The sequence below is a fragment of the Homo sapiens genome, chromosome 6 (assembly GCF_000001405.40).
Source record: "Homo sapiens chromosome 6, GRCh38.p14 Primary Assembly".
Taxonomy (NCBI): Eukaryota; Metazoa; Chordata; class Mammalia; order Primates; family Hominidae; genus Homo; species Homo sapiens.
Window position 1 is genome coordinate 157,933,170 of NC_000006.12, and position 14,253 is coordinate 157,947,422.

Sequence of the window (14,253 nt, forward strand, 5' to 3'; positions counted from 1 at the left end):
TGTAGTCTCAGCTGTTCTGGAGGCTGAAGCAGAAGGATCGCTTGAGCCCAGGAGGTCGAGGCTATAGTGTGCCATGATCACACCACTGCACTCCAATATGGGCAACAGAGTGAGACCCCATCTCAAGAAAAAAAGAAGAAAAAGCATTTGTCAGCTAGGTGGCACCTATTAAATCTGTTATCTCCTGTCACTTATAGAAGTGGTAGAATTGGTACAGGTGTTGATCCTGATACTCAAGGCAGACAGTGCTTTGGATGTCGGTTTCTGAATATTTTAATAATAAACTAATAAGAAGTTTCTCACCAAAATGTAAGATTTAGGGCTCCCACATGGCAATAGTTCTCATTGCCCTGGCCTTACCATGTCTTACAGTTGACACTTTTAGACCAGAAGCGGGCTTTGAGGTCTAGACTGGGAACTCAAGGCCAGAACAGAGAAGCATCTTGGCCCAGGTAACAAGTGGGTGATGGAAGAGCTGAGAGCAAGCCACGCCCATTGCTTAGGGAGGAGGCAGAGGTCTTGGAGCCCTTTTAGCATGGTGGCTCTGTGATGTCTCAACAGGGTGAGAAGATTTGTCCTAGAGATGCTGGAATTTTGGCCATCATGATGGCCCGGCTCCACAGGCATCCATGGGTTCCCCACTGGGAGCTGCTTCGTGATTCTTTAACATTTTCTGGACTGTGATTATCAATACATAATTAAATGTTCCATATTGCAAATAGCACTTTTTCAAGTATTAAAAATACTCAGTGTATGTTTTATGTTGAATATCATTCTACTTAAGATAATATTTTAAGGAAGCATTCAAGTTCCTGTTGACTGGCTTTTCTCCCATTACAAAGGACAGTGAAGGTCAGCAGTGTGGAGTACTGTGTCCATCACATCCACTTGCTCAGATGTGTTGGCGTCTTAGAGCAGTGCTATACTATGCGATCTTGCAATAATGTAAATGGGTTTGATTCCTGGAAATATTGTGATTATAGTAAAAATAACTTCCAGTGCTCCTTTACAAGTTCATGTACTAACTTGAAATAATACAGACTATTAGCATGGCCCCTGCACAAAACCATGAAACATTGCATATTCTTATGGATGAGCATATGGAAATATAAGCAATAAAAATTCTTAAATGATTATAGGGAAGGAGAGAGAGAGATGGAAGGTAAACTGATTATATCTTGTTTTGTACAGTTGACTTTGGAATAATGTAAATGCTTTACATAATTATTAGAAAACAAATTTAAATCAAAATGGAAAAAAAATTTCTAATCAAAAGCAAAATAAAACAAATGATACATCAAAATGAAGGCATAGCACACAGAGGAATTGTTTCAAAACACCTTAAAATGGCATTTTATATGCCCCCAGGAGCGGGTGCCTCAAGGTCAGAAAGACTATAAGAATGTTAGTTGTTTTCACTAAACATGTAGTCAATATCATGTTGGTATTGTTATTCTAAAACTTCTAAAACTATTTACATATTGTAGGATAAAGCAAATACGTAATTATGTTACTGTTGTTAGCAATTAAGATTTTTAAAATAAAAAGTTTTAAAATAAATGAAGAAAACCCCTAAAGTCATAAATTTGCTTTGGAAACAGTGTGAACTCATTACATGATTTCCTTCTTAAAAAAAAATACAGTTTGCCTTTCTGTTAAAGCTCTAGAAACAGTTACCCAATCCAGTAGCAAGAAGCATTCCCTGGCACCAATCGTAAGGTCCACGTCCCACCACAGTGAACCAGGGTTCCTATCAAAAGACTTAGATACCAATTGGAAGAGCCTACCACTGGCCAAAGAAAAGAAAATGTGAGCATTAGTGAAAATAATAATTAATGTGGAATGAAGCATATCAAATATTTTTAAATCCAGAATTATAAAGATGCTTTTTAAGAAATTAATCTCAGTTACTTTTGGAGAATGGTGGTGGATTAACTCATTATTTTGAAAACTATAAAGAGAAAGAATTAAGCACTTAACCTGCTTTTCCTGTTCAAACTCTACCTCTGGGTAACCGGAATATTGATAAAGGAAAGTTGATCCTTATGGAAGTATTTCAGCTAATAAAGAAGGAATGGTAGAAATAGAATAGCACCATTTTGCAAACTCATACTAAAATAAAAGATCCAGACAATGGTCATTCTAGGTAACGATCATTTTCTAACATTCTAAGAGTAGAAATAACTGAACTGGTGGTGTGTGACTCTGATCAGGCCTCTAGGTCTAATAGCCAGTGTGAAGAGAACACAGGGACAGGGGAGTGTGTGACATATCACCAGAGACACAGCCAGCAGCATCCAGAATGCAGGCACCAGGGCACACGACAAATTCAACACCCCACGAAAAGAAAGGTGCAGGGAAAAAAGGGGCCGAGGGAGAAGAATCCACAGAGTTAAGAAACGCATCAGTTCTGTGCCGTATGGACCTTTACATCCTGATTCAAGCAGCCAGCTCTCCCTGAGAGGCCTCATTATAGCCGAATGACAGTCTCGTCATAGGTGTCATAATGGTACTGCCTCATGTTTTAGAGTCCTCATCTATTAGGCAAGATTTATGAATGAGATGCTGATGTCCGGTGAAAGCGGGTCGGGGTGTAGACGAACACAGGCTGGCGAGAGCTGCCAGTGGGGAAGGCAGATGGTGGGTGATGGGCATTCATTCTATTCCCAATAGTTTTGAAAATGTTTGAAAGTTTCTATAATAAAATTTACCAATAAAATCAATAATAAAATTTTAACAAGTGAAAAGAAAATATGCATAACTTATAACCACTGATAAAATTGATCATTTTCAGGTGAAACAGATCTCAATGATGCAATAACAGAAGCAGGAAAGACTTATGAAGAAATTGCCAGTCTCGTGGCAGAACAGGTACTAACATAATCACACAATTCCAATTAAGATTTGTTGCTATCTAGTCCACATATTTAATTTAAAACCTGTCTTAGGACAAACGTCCCAAATAAGTACCCTCTTCTTTTCTGTTTCTGTGTATCTTTTTTAATTGTGTTTAATCATGGTTTCTTAGGTTAAGACAAAGTGGATGAATACATTTGTCATCAAGAAATCTAAATAGGCCAGGCACAGTGGCTCACACCTGTAATCTGGCACTTTGGGAGGCCAAGGCGGGTGAATCTCTTGAGTCCAGGAGTTCGAGACCAGCCTGGGCAACACAGTGAACCCCCAAAAATTAGCTGGGTGTAGTGGTGTACACCTGTAGTCCCAGCTACTCGGGAGGCTGAGGTAGGAAGATTGCTTGAGCCCGGGAAGTCAAGGCTGCAGTGAGCCATGATCATACCACTGCACTCCAGCCTGGGTGACAGAGCGAGACCCTATCTCAGAAGAAAAAAAGACATCTAAATGAATGCACTCCAGTATTGATGCCTCTGATCTGTTCTTAGCCATCAGGGGATTCTAAAGAACAGGAAAGAATGCTGGCTCAGATCTGTATGGACCATTGCTTAGCCTCTCTGAGCTGTGGTTTCCTTATCTGTTAATCTGCAGTGGTAGTGCCTACCCTGTATGATTCTTAAGATTTAATAGCTCATAAATAAAAAGCACCTGCTACAGTCCCCAGGACAGGGTAGGTCCTTGTCATAGCTACATAGCTTTTATTGGAGTCTTTAGTACCCCAGTTTCAGGGGCTTTTTAGATAACAGATAATAAGTTCCCTTAAGAAGAATCTAAGTTATTTTCTAATCCCTTAATTAAAAAAAATTTTTTTTCAGATGACTTTAAACTATGTGTATGGATGCACACATGTGTACACACACTAATGTGGTTGTGGGCTACTTTGCTGATACTTCTAAAAAAGCATTCATTTTAATAACATAGCTATTAAAGTTATAATTCAGAAAAAATGGAAAAATTTAAAATTACCACTTAAAATGATTAGTTTTAATATTTTTATATTCTCTGCTCATATTTAGAAGTTAAACTACAACAACTCATTTGTTTGTGTGTAAACATACAGCATTAGCTGAACTTCCTTCATGGTGGTATTATTTTGGGCCACGTCAAAATAACTAATTTTACAAACCAACTTAAAAATTACATGATGTTTTGTTGTTTTCTTTACAACATATGATTCAAAGTATGGCAGTCTTGGGAGTTATTTTCTTTTAGAAAAAGTGATCTGAATGCTTAACACTCAATAATTTAGTGTAGCACATGCAGGATTTATAGTCTTTGGGTATAATAGTTCTCTTTTCCTTGATTTTCTGAATTTCTCTGCCAGTAACAATCAGCTTGTATCTTGTTATAGCCAAAGAAAGATCTCCATTTCCTGATGGAATGTAATCACGAGTATAAAGGTTTTCTTGGCTGCTTCCCTGACATCATTGGCACTCACAAGGTAACCTGATCGTAGACATTTATAGAAGACAACAGCAGGTGAAGGAGGCAGATGTGCGCAGTAGTCAGTATTGGTTTTATATGTTTATTATTAAAAAAGAAACAATCTATAATTCCCATTAGAAAGGTTTTGTAACTGAATTTTGACATTGGTTTGGGGTGTCCTCACATATGAATTCTGGTTTTCTCTCCCTTTTTAAAAATCTGTACATCACCTCAGGCATGAGTTGTGAGTATTTTATATTTTATGTCAACCATAGTAGTCTATCGTATATTATGATGTACTTGGATTTGTTAGGAAAATCTCTGCAAAGGGCTGGTCTGTGATCTTAACAGTCCTGGCATGTGGCCATTTTAGCATTCTGCTTTATAACTTAAATATCATGAAGGGGTACCATAGGTAAATTAGGTTTGTACAACTTCAGATAACTTAATATAAAACTCAGAAAAATTAGCTTGCTGTCGAAATGTATGCCAGCAGCATCAGAGTTGTAGGCCTGGAGCCTAATTAATGCATGAGTATAGAGTTGTTCCTTCCAGACAGCGGTAAATAACGAGCAGCGTGATGACACTGGAGTGGGAAATGTTTGGCAGCTTTTCTAGCCGCTTCCATCTGAGTCTTTAAATGGATTCAGCGCCTCTTAAAAAATCAAAGGAAAGCCCAGGACTTAGAATCAGCACACTTAGGCACTAGCTTATAAAATATTCTGTTGTATAAAAAAAGAGAGAGAGTGCCTGTGTGCACATGCTGCCCTGTACCTAGCCACATGACTTCCAAAACCTGCTAATGCCTGATTTCCATTACGTGCTACTCCTCAAATGGCAGCGGCTTCTGAATATTACAGAGATGGTGTGCTGTTTGCTTTTCTCTTTTGTTGTAGCATAAAACTGTTCATTTTAGCTTAGTGACATTTGTCAAGAATAGCAACCTTTTTGCTTCCAAGGGACTTGAAGGAAGTTAAATTTAGATGCTTTCCTCTCTTCTTATTTTGTGGAGGTATTTCCTGTTCAGTAGCAAATCAGTTATAGAATATATTAGCATTGTTATATTTTAAACTAATGACTAATCATTTCAGCTTTATTCATACTGTTGCATTTTATATTTCACAGGGAGCAATAGAAAAAGTGAAAGAAAGTGACAAACTAGTTGCAACAAGTAAAATCACCCTACAAGACAAACAGAACATGGTGAAGAGAGTCAGCATCATGTCTTACGCGTTGCAAGGTAAGATGAAAGGGTCCTTATGAGGTGCTGGTGGAAGTTTTTTTTTCCCCAGCAAAGTTTCCCTTGATAGAGAGAAATCCAGATGTGAGCAGCAGTTAAGTAAGTGAGACCTTTTAAGCCCCTCGTTTGCAGGATCCCGGTGCTGATGAAAATCTGTAATATTTATTTAATTTTTCACCTGTCCACCTTATCTGGCTATAGATGACAGCTTGATTAAAACTGTACATTTTATTATTTCTGAGAGACATTTAAGATTCCTTTTGTAATCTGTGGTATCATAATGCTCTATTAAATGCCAGAGCCCAGCTTTTAGCAGTCTGTAACCTGCGTGCCTTGGGATCATGGAATGTGAAGGGGTTTGGGTGTGTCATTTTAGGCACAATTTTTTTGTGTCAAGAAAAAAAAAAGATGAATTTCTATAGGTTTGAGTGTTTTTGAGCAGATGAGGGCAGCAAGTGGATTTTTCCTGTTGGCGGATGGGTGGATGGCACTTGGATGGGCAGAGAATGGAGAGCGTGTTCTGTTAGGAACAAAAGCCACAAAATTGTGGTGCTAGATTGTGTCATGGGCATGAAAGAGTAAAACATACTTAGAGGTTATTGGGAAATAAATTTTGATTGTGAAGGAACTTGAAAGCTCTAGACTTGATGCAGGCATTAAGAAGCCATTAAAAGGGAGTAAAAAAAAATCAATCCTCAAGGGAGAAGGATTTGCTGGTTATGGAGGGGAGATTGGAAGATGCAGACACTGTCCAAGAGCCCAGCCAGAAGACCATCTCACTGTTGTAGTCTGAGCTTTGAGGGCCTAAAGATGTGGTACTGGGGAGAAGAGAATGAAGCACATTTGCAGGCTTTTCCAAGGAACAGCTTTCAAGACTGGGGCATTCATGGGAGAAAGAGAAGGATGAGGGAGGTGTCCAGAGCCAGGCCACTACGGCAAAAACGAGGAACCCTGATTGAAGTTTCGGGTTTTGAAGGGTTTGAAATGGGGAGTTTGGTTTTGAACTTGTGTTTGAGGTTATCCAAATTGAGAAATACAAAGCTTTGTATAACTTCAAGTAACTGAATGTAAAATGTAGAACAGTTTGCATGTCATGGGAATCTGTGCAGCCGCTGGCTTTCTCAGCCTGGAGGGTTTGGGAGAAGGCGGCATAGGAGGCATCCGAGGGAGGCAATGAGGTCCTCTGATGACGAAGACTCCTCTAGAGTTGGGGGCAGGGGCAGGGGGGACAGAGAAAGAAGGAATCCATGTATTCAGCAAACATGAAGAAAGTTGTCCCTCAGCATCCAGTCCTCCTGCCCTGTGAGAGGTTGAGTTCTGACAGCGTCGCTGGTGCTCAGGGGCAGCAAGGCTTCCCGTACTGAAGAAGGGTCTCCCGCTGTCCCACACGCTGCCCAGCCTTTCACCAGAAACCTGCTGAAGCAATTGCTGTGCAGGAGGGAGCGGGGCAGGGACCCCAGCTGCCTGCTAGGTCCAGTGCAGACACACCAGAGGCTTTGAACTGCAGTCATCTGTAACAAATATGACCAAGTATTTTCTATTTGATCGATTCTGTTAGAGTAATAGGCTGCATTTGGGTGATTTATCTGTATTGGATTTTATAGTTTTGAATATGCAAGACAGTGAAAGTCATTCATTTACTGGAAAGTAATGTTTGTCATTAGCTTGTTTTGTTTTGTTTGTTTTGTTTGAGACAGTCTCGCTCTGTCACCCAGGCTGGAGTACAGTGGTGCAATCCCGGCTCACTGCAACCTCCATCTCCTGAGTTCAAGCAATTCTCCTGCCTCGGCCTCCCAAGTAGCTGGGATTACAGGCACCTGTTGCCATGCCCGGCTAATTTTTGTATTCTTAGTAGAGATGGGGTTTTGCCATGCTGGCCAGGCTGGTCTTGAACTCCTGACCTCAGGTGATCCACCCACCTCACCTCCCAGAGTGCTGGGATTACAGGTGTGAGCCACTGCGCCCAGCTCAACTTGTTTTTCTAACCTCTTAGTAAAGTGATTTACCAAGAACTGACAACAGCAGCCAACCAGATTAGGTCAGGTTGATGATTAATTGTAACTGAGCAGAGAAACCAGGTGTTGTCATTTGAAAACTTGAGGGAAAACTGATTGATGTTCTGATTTGGGTTGTAGCTGAGATGAATCACTTTCACAGTAACCGGATCTATGATTACAACAGTGTCATCCGCCTGTACCTGGAGCAGCAAGTGCAATTTTACGAAACGGTGAGTGGGCGTCCACGTGCCTTTCGCATGTGCTTGAGGAGAGGGTTCCTGGTAAACCACTTTGACCATGTAAAGTTAATCTGTTTGTATTCTTTAATCCTAAGTAATAAACCAAAGGAGCCTAAATTTTGGACAGGATTTTTTTAATCTCCTAATTCCATCTGCCCTTTGCTTTTTGGATAACACTGGGTTAAAAAAGATTTTCTTCTGAAGCAGGGGTCTTGGATGCTAGTTGCAAGGCCCCAAGAAGTTCCTTATTGTGCAGCTCCTTCCCCCCGTCACAGCCTCTCTGTGCCTCTGTGCACCAGGAACGGTGCTGAATGAGATGAGGTCACCCAGCCGTCCCTGGGACTCCGTTGGCAGCTGGAACAGGAGCCTGGCACCACACAGGAAACCAAAGGCAGCCTTTGCTTTTTGTGAATGAGGTTTTCACAGTGCGCCATGGAAATCGCAGAGAGAAAACCAAAAAAGCGAGATGTGGGATGGTTTTATTCACAAAACAATAACGAAAACTTAAATTTTTCTTACCTCTGCTTAGTAATTTTGTTGTTTACCAGAGTCTATAGAAAACAAAAATCTAGTAGCATGTCTCCCTCAGACACCTGCAGGTAAGGTCTGTAATGTAGAATCCAGCCTCCGCTGGCGGCCTTGCTGCCTACCCAGCTCCCCTCTGGCCATGGGATCTAAGCCATGTTCATGGGGAGTGGTGAGCAAGCCCTCTGCTCAGCCATACTGGTGGCATCTGCGAGCTGGACACTGCTGAAAACGCCTGTCTCCAGCAGCCAGTTCTTAAAGGAGAACTGTGCTTGATGTACCTAATGCATATTTGTGAATTGTGTCTTGGACAGTTGGTTTGGGAGACTAACTTACGGGAGGAACTCACCTAAGCCCTGTCCTCCCTTACAGGACGTGGGCCCTATGCTCTTTAAATGCACACTTTTCCCGTCAGTTGGTGCCATTGTGGATTTGCCTTTCATTGTATATTAGAATATAACAGATTACATTTGTCTGTGTGAGAAAATAATGCAAGGGCAACTCTCAAAATTTTGATAGTGTTGATTTATTGATTTTCAAGTCCAGGTATGGTATAGTGACATTGTAATTCAGAATAGAAAACCATGTATTTCATCACTGTCTTTGCATAAACCTAAGTAGCTGATATAACATTGTTAGGTTTTAGATCTAAGTTTTATGGCAAAGTAACCCTTAAGTTACTAAAATTTGTGTATGTGTTCATGGAGCAGACATATATTGAGTGTTTCTTATATACCAAGCCCTCGTGCTGGATGTTTAGCATCCAGGGATGGATAAGACAGCTGTGCCTTCAAGGAGCAAGAGGCCCTGGCGCAGAGACCACTGCAGCGCCTCGTTAGCTTCACAGGCAGGCTCGTGCTGTCTGCACACTCAGCAGTGACAGCAGGGTGTGGCCAGGGCGACACAACCTTCAGGGGATTCTGGAAGCTCATACTCCTCCAGGAAAGAGGGGGCTCTAGGCAAACATGAAGGCCTGAGCCCCCAGCTCATCTGAGGAAAAGCAGGTGGTCTGGAAGCGCCGCTAGGGCAGAGGTGGGGAGCATGTGTAGACGCCTCCCGGCGGGAAGGGACCACCAGGGCCAGCTCGGGCCCCAGCGCTGCCGGTGTCATTCGGGGTTAAGGTCTGTCCAGCAGCAACGCGGGGCAGGGCTGGTGCCAAAAAGACCAGTTAAAGAATTGGAATTTGTGTCATGTTTAACTTGTTGGAGTTGTGAATAAAGAACACTGTGAGGTCGTAATGGGAGTGATATCTCAACGTTGTTTTGTTTTGCTTTCTTGTCAGATTGCAGAAAAGCTGAGGCAGGCCCTCAGCCGCTTTCCAGTGATGTAGGACAGAACGGGCCTTGAAGAGAATGCCGCGTGCTTTCTCCTGACTTGGGGCAATGCAATTCAAAACTTTTTTTCCCCTATTATTCAGAAAAAAAAGGAAACAAAACCAAAAAGAAAGAGTTGCAAAAAACTGCATTTATTTTATTAGCCACCCTAAATGCGTCAGTTATTTAGGGATGGTCTTTTGTTCATTTCCGCATCCATTATTTAAACCAGTGGAAATTGTCTCTATTTTTGGAAAGTACTTAAAAGTTACCAGAATTTTCAATGGAAAATGAGGGGTTTCTCCCCACTGATATTTTACATAGAGTCATAATTTATATGTCTTATAAATTATAAGTCTTATATAATTTATAAGTCTCCCACAATCTTCCAGTTCTTACCCAGTGTCAGATAATTAATTACTAATTACTTTCTTAAAAACATGAACTATGCCAGAATAAAAAATATCTATGTTTGTATATTTTTATAACTCCTTTCAGTCCTCTGGGGCTCCTGTCATTGAGGGAAGTCGTTACGCCTTTCACTGCCACAGTTACAGCTCAAGTGCTTACACTTCAAGAGGGAGGACGCTGGGGGCCCCTGGGGCTGCTAGTGCCATCGTGGTGTGTGGCAGGTGGGCCATCCCATGTCCCTCCAGGGGGACCCCACAGCCTGGCAGATGAGCAGATACCCCTGGCCACCCATGTCCTCAGCGACATTTCTGATGTGCTGCTCTTATGTGAGGACCAGTGCTTTCTCTCTTTGCACTTCCTTCCTAATCTTGGTTAAGGCATGTTTTATGCCATGAAGAATACATTAGAAGAATTGAGGGACTTTGTAGAGAATTTTGTGGCTTTGGTCCAACGGGTGAGTGGCTGTGCGGAGGCCTGTGTTCGGGAGGGCCTGGGAGAAGGAGGGCACCCAGCACCCCGGCGTCTCTGGCCCTTTCTTATTCTTTGGCTCCTCATCCACCGTGATGAGAAGCGCTGCTGTGGCCACGGCACACTGCTTGGCTTGGGTGGCGGGTTCATGGCCAGTTGGTGTCATCAGCAAAGAGAAAAAGCACAGGTTAGCTCCCCATTAGATGGAAAAGTGTAGGGACTGAGAAGGGCTGCAGCCTCAGCAGTGTACAGAGTCCCCGGCGCTCTGAGGTTGGAGAGAAAGAACAGACCAGCGCCCTTCCCGACTACATCCGAAACTTCACACAGGGTGTTTCTGAGCACCAGCACTTCCAGCGCTTCACTTAACGGCATAAAGCAAAACAGGACCTTGGCACACCGTCAGCTCGAACTCAACACTGGCAGCCACCGTCTCACCCCTGCGGAGGAGCGCTCCCGTCTCCCACAGGTGCCTTACCGCGTTCCCTCCCGCTGCTTTCATTTTTCTGACCTAATAATTACGGGAAATGGAAAGTCTGGGCCAGCATCAATAAAATGACACCAAAAATAAGTAGATGAAATCAAATGAATATGAGAACATCTTGTTCTTCAATATCACGGGTTTTTGTTAATGTTTCATAAGTAATTCTCCCCACTTGATTTTTCTTCTATAAAATCCCATAGAACAATGTTTATGCTATAGCCATTTAATATATGTACAAATTGTAAAGAATATGTATAAATGTTTTACACGAATGTAAGAGCATGTAGAAGCCAACATATAAATAAATTGTTTAAAAAAACTGTACAGTAAATTCTCAAAGCACTTTTTCAAAACACTTTTTGGACTTTGTGTGTGATTTTTGTTGTTGTTGTTAAGTACTTTTTATTCCAGCTGCTGAAAATGGTCCAGGTAATGAATTCTTCCCCAAATCCTATTTCTTCTGACATGAATTCATCATTTCAGTTCCGTAGGTCAGTGTTGCGGTCCGGGAAGCGTATCATAACCACCTGGGAGTTGCCAAGAAGCAGACAGTCTCCCAGTGTCTGACTCTCGGATATTTGGATTTGACTGGTGTGAGGCAAAGTGAAAAAGGGATGGGGGAAATGGAGATGGCACGGGCTCCTCAGAGCGTGGTAGCCGACTGTGAGGAAAAGCAGAGGGAATGTGAAAGAAAATAAGAGAATCCACGGGATTTGATGCCTGGAAGATTCTCCTTCAAGTGGCAACATGGCATATATATCCTTCTCCGGGGAGTCACATGCACCATTTGGTTCTTAGATACGTTGATGTTTTGATTTTTAATGATTTGTATCAACCTGTAGGTACCACAGAAGAGCTGTAGTCATACAATCACATAACTTTTACAAATATAGTGGAAAAAAAGTCAGTATTTGGAGAGGAGAGATGAAGGCGTGGTGGAAGAAAAGGTCAGTCTCGTTGTCAAGCAAGTGACGTCAGTTGCCTCCCACCAGGAGCAGCAGTCCCGGGATGTCAACCCACTGCATGGTTTGTAGGTGTTGGGGTCACCAAGAAAGATGACTCACAGAGGCACTGGGTGGAACAACGTAACTTGATTCATTTTCTTATTGGTGACTTTATTCACTTTCTTTCTTTTGTGGTAGCTTTATTCATTTTCTTATTCTGTCATTTTAAAAATGTTTTCTTACAAAAGTACCTGCTGGGTCTGGGGTTTGATGTTGCCCTACTTACAAGCAAGTAATTTAGTCTGTTGCTGTTCCATGGATACTGGAAGGGGCCATGAGACTCGTGGGTCTACTCACATAGAGAAGAGACAGCATGATCTACTTCTGTCATGGGCTTCAGTCCCAGGGAGATGGTCTGTGGGCACCCCCCATCCCCCCGCCCCCGGTGGGCAGCGTTGACAGGCTGTGCATGGCAGCCTCTCCCGGCACCACTGGTCTACATCTTCACTAAATCCATAGATCCCTGCCTAACAACTGGGAATCCAGAATCTCACAGTCTTGTTTATTTATTTATGAGATAATCTCACTCTGTGGCCCAGGCTGGAGTGCAGTGGCATGATGTCAGCTCACTGCAACCTCTGCCTCCTGGTTTAAGGGATTCTCCTGCCTCAGCCTCCCATGGCGCACACCACCATGCGTGGCTAATTTTTTTTGTATCTTTAGTTGAGACGGGGTTTCACCATGTTGGCCAGGCTGGTCTTGAACTCCTGACCTCAGGTGATCTGCCCACCTCAGCTTCCAAAAGTGCTGGGATTACAGACATGAGCCACCACACCCAACCTCACAGTCTATAAAGTAGTCAAAGTAAAAAAGGTGTGATGGCTGAGCAGAACTGAACAGTGATGGGTGAGAATGGCCCTGTTTTTCCTGTGTGTGTGTAACTCAATTTTCCCAACCTGTTCGATTTTAAATCCCTTTCCGCAAGCAAGTAGGAAGAATGAGTTCCCCTTTTGGGAGAATATTTTCCGTGGGTCTCTCGCACTCCACCTGGCTTTTTTGCTGGCTATGTCAAGAACACAGAGCCCTGACTGCTCTTCACCCAGGCCGCCCCTCCACACTGCATCTGTAGCAAGCTACTTGAGGGACAAGGTCATGTTTTGGAAGGAGTATGGGCTTGCCTGCTGCTTGCTGTAAAACAGTGGGTTTTCCAGCTCCAGGTCCTCCTCTAAAAACCCACTGTCTGAGCAGGCACCCTCTGGCCACTCAAGGTTCCACCAGGGGACTGGCAGGGCAAGGAGAACTGGAGTTTGTGTTACTTGCTGTGTCATGGCTTATCAAGTCCTTTGCCCCTGACCCAGGAGACTGTCTCATGTCCCCTGCCAGTATCCATGGAACAGTAACAGACGTTTGCTTGTAAGTAGGGCAACATCAAATCCCTGACCCAGCAGGTGCTTTTGTAAGAAAACATTTTTTAAATGACAGAATAAATGAATAAGGCCACCAAAAAGACATACACTAGCCTAGACTGTTGGAAGATGAGGAATGGTCTTTCACACCCCGTCAGCATACAGTAGAAAAGAACAAGCAAGTTGAGATTTCATCAAAGCAGAAATGAGAATGTTTTGAATGCCATTGGCAATTCAACGGACAAAAAGCAAGGTTGTCTGAAGACCATGAATCCCCATGGGGAGAGGATGGCTTCGTTTCTGACTTGACAATAAGCTCAGAGGTCTTTGGGTGGGATCCATATCTTAGAAAAAATTGCCAAGTCCAGTGAATCATTCTGTAGGATTTGTAGAACTCTGAAGACAGAATGAGAGTGAGGTCATGTGAGCTTGACTCCAGGAACCATGTGAGCTTTGAAAGAACCACTCTGTCGAAGCACTATTCTTCAAAGGTTGGGGAACTTCCCACCTGGCTCGACTCTGAGAGGAGGAGGTACCTAGTGCTGGGTGAGGGAGGCCAAGAGGTGGGCTTAGGGGAAGTCATTAATTCTGGAGAGAAGCCACTGGCTGTACTGAAAACATGCTAGCTTGCCAGCAAGCTGGAAAGGACTGCTCTGCTGGGTACGAGGTGGTGGTGAGCATGGGCGTAGGTGGCTGCCACCACTAAATGTCCAAGGCTGCAGGGAACAGGTAGCTCCATCAGTTGTCCTTAAAACAGTAGTTCTCCACCAGAAGTACTTGTGCTCTCCAGGACTCACTTGGCTGTTTCTGGAGACAGTTACTGAGGGGTGTTACTGTCATCTAGTGGATCCTACAGTGCACAGCACAGCCTCCGTGATAAAGAACTATCTG

General features: G+C 43.0%; 1 protein-coding gene and 1 pseudogene across 2 annotated transcripts in view, besides 1 other annotated feature; both read left to right on the forward strand.

Moving 5' to 3' along the window:
- Positions 1-11,908, forward strand: part of SNX9 (sorting nexin 9) — a 121,832-nt gene extending 109,924 nt beyond the window's left edge. For both annotated transcript variants that reach the window (NM_016224.5, XM_011535886.4), the window contains 5 exons: positions 2,795-2,871; positions 4,265-4,354; positions 5,464-5,578; positions 7,714-7,805; positions 9,622-11,908. In NM_016224.5, coding sequence (NP_057308.1) covers positions 2,795-2,871; positions 4,265-4,354; positions 5,464-5,578; positions 7,714-7,805; positions 9,622-9,669 — 422 coding nt within the window. In that variant the 3' untranslated portion in view covers positions 9,670-11,908. The remainder of the gene's footprint in view (positions 1-2,794; positions 2,872-4,264; positions 4,355-5,463; positions 5,579-7,713; positions 7,806-9,621) is intronic.
- RNU6-786P (RNA, U6 small nuclear 786, pseudogene) lies at positions 999-1,088 on the forward strand (annotated as a pseudogene).
- Positions 14,175-14,224: a silencer, noted in NCBI's record as "silent region_17730". NCBI's record gives its function as "represses an Ori minimal core promoter by ATAC-STARR-seq in GM12878 lymphoblastoid cells {active_cell/tissue: GM12878}" and the evidence as "EXISTENCE:reporter gene assay evidence [ECO:0000049][PMID:35858748]".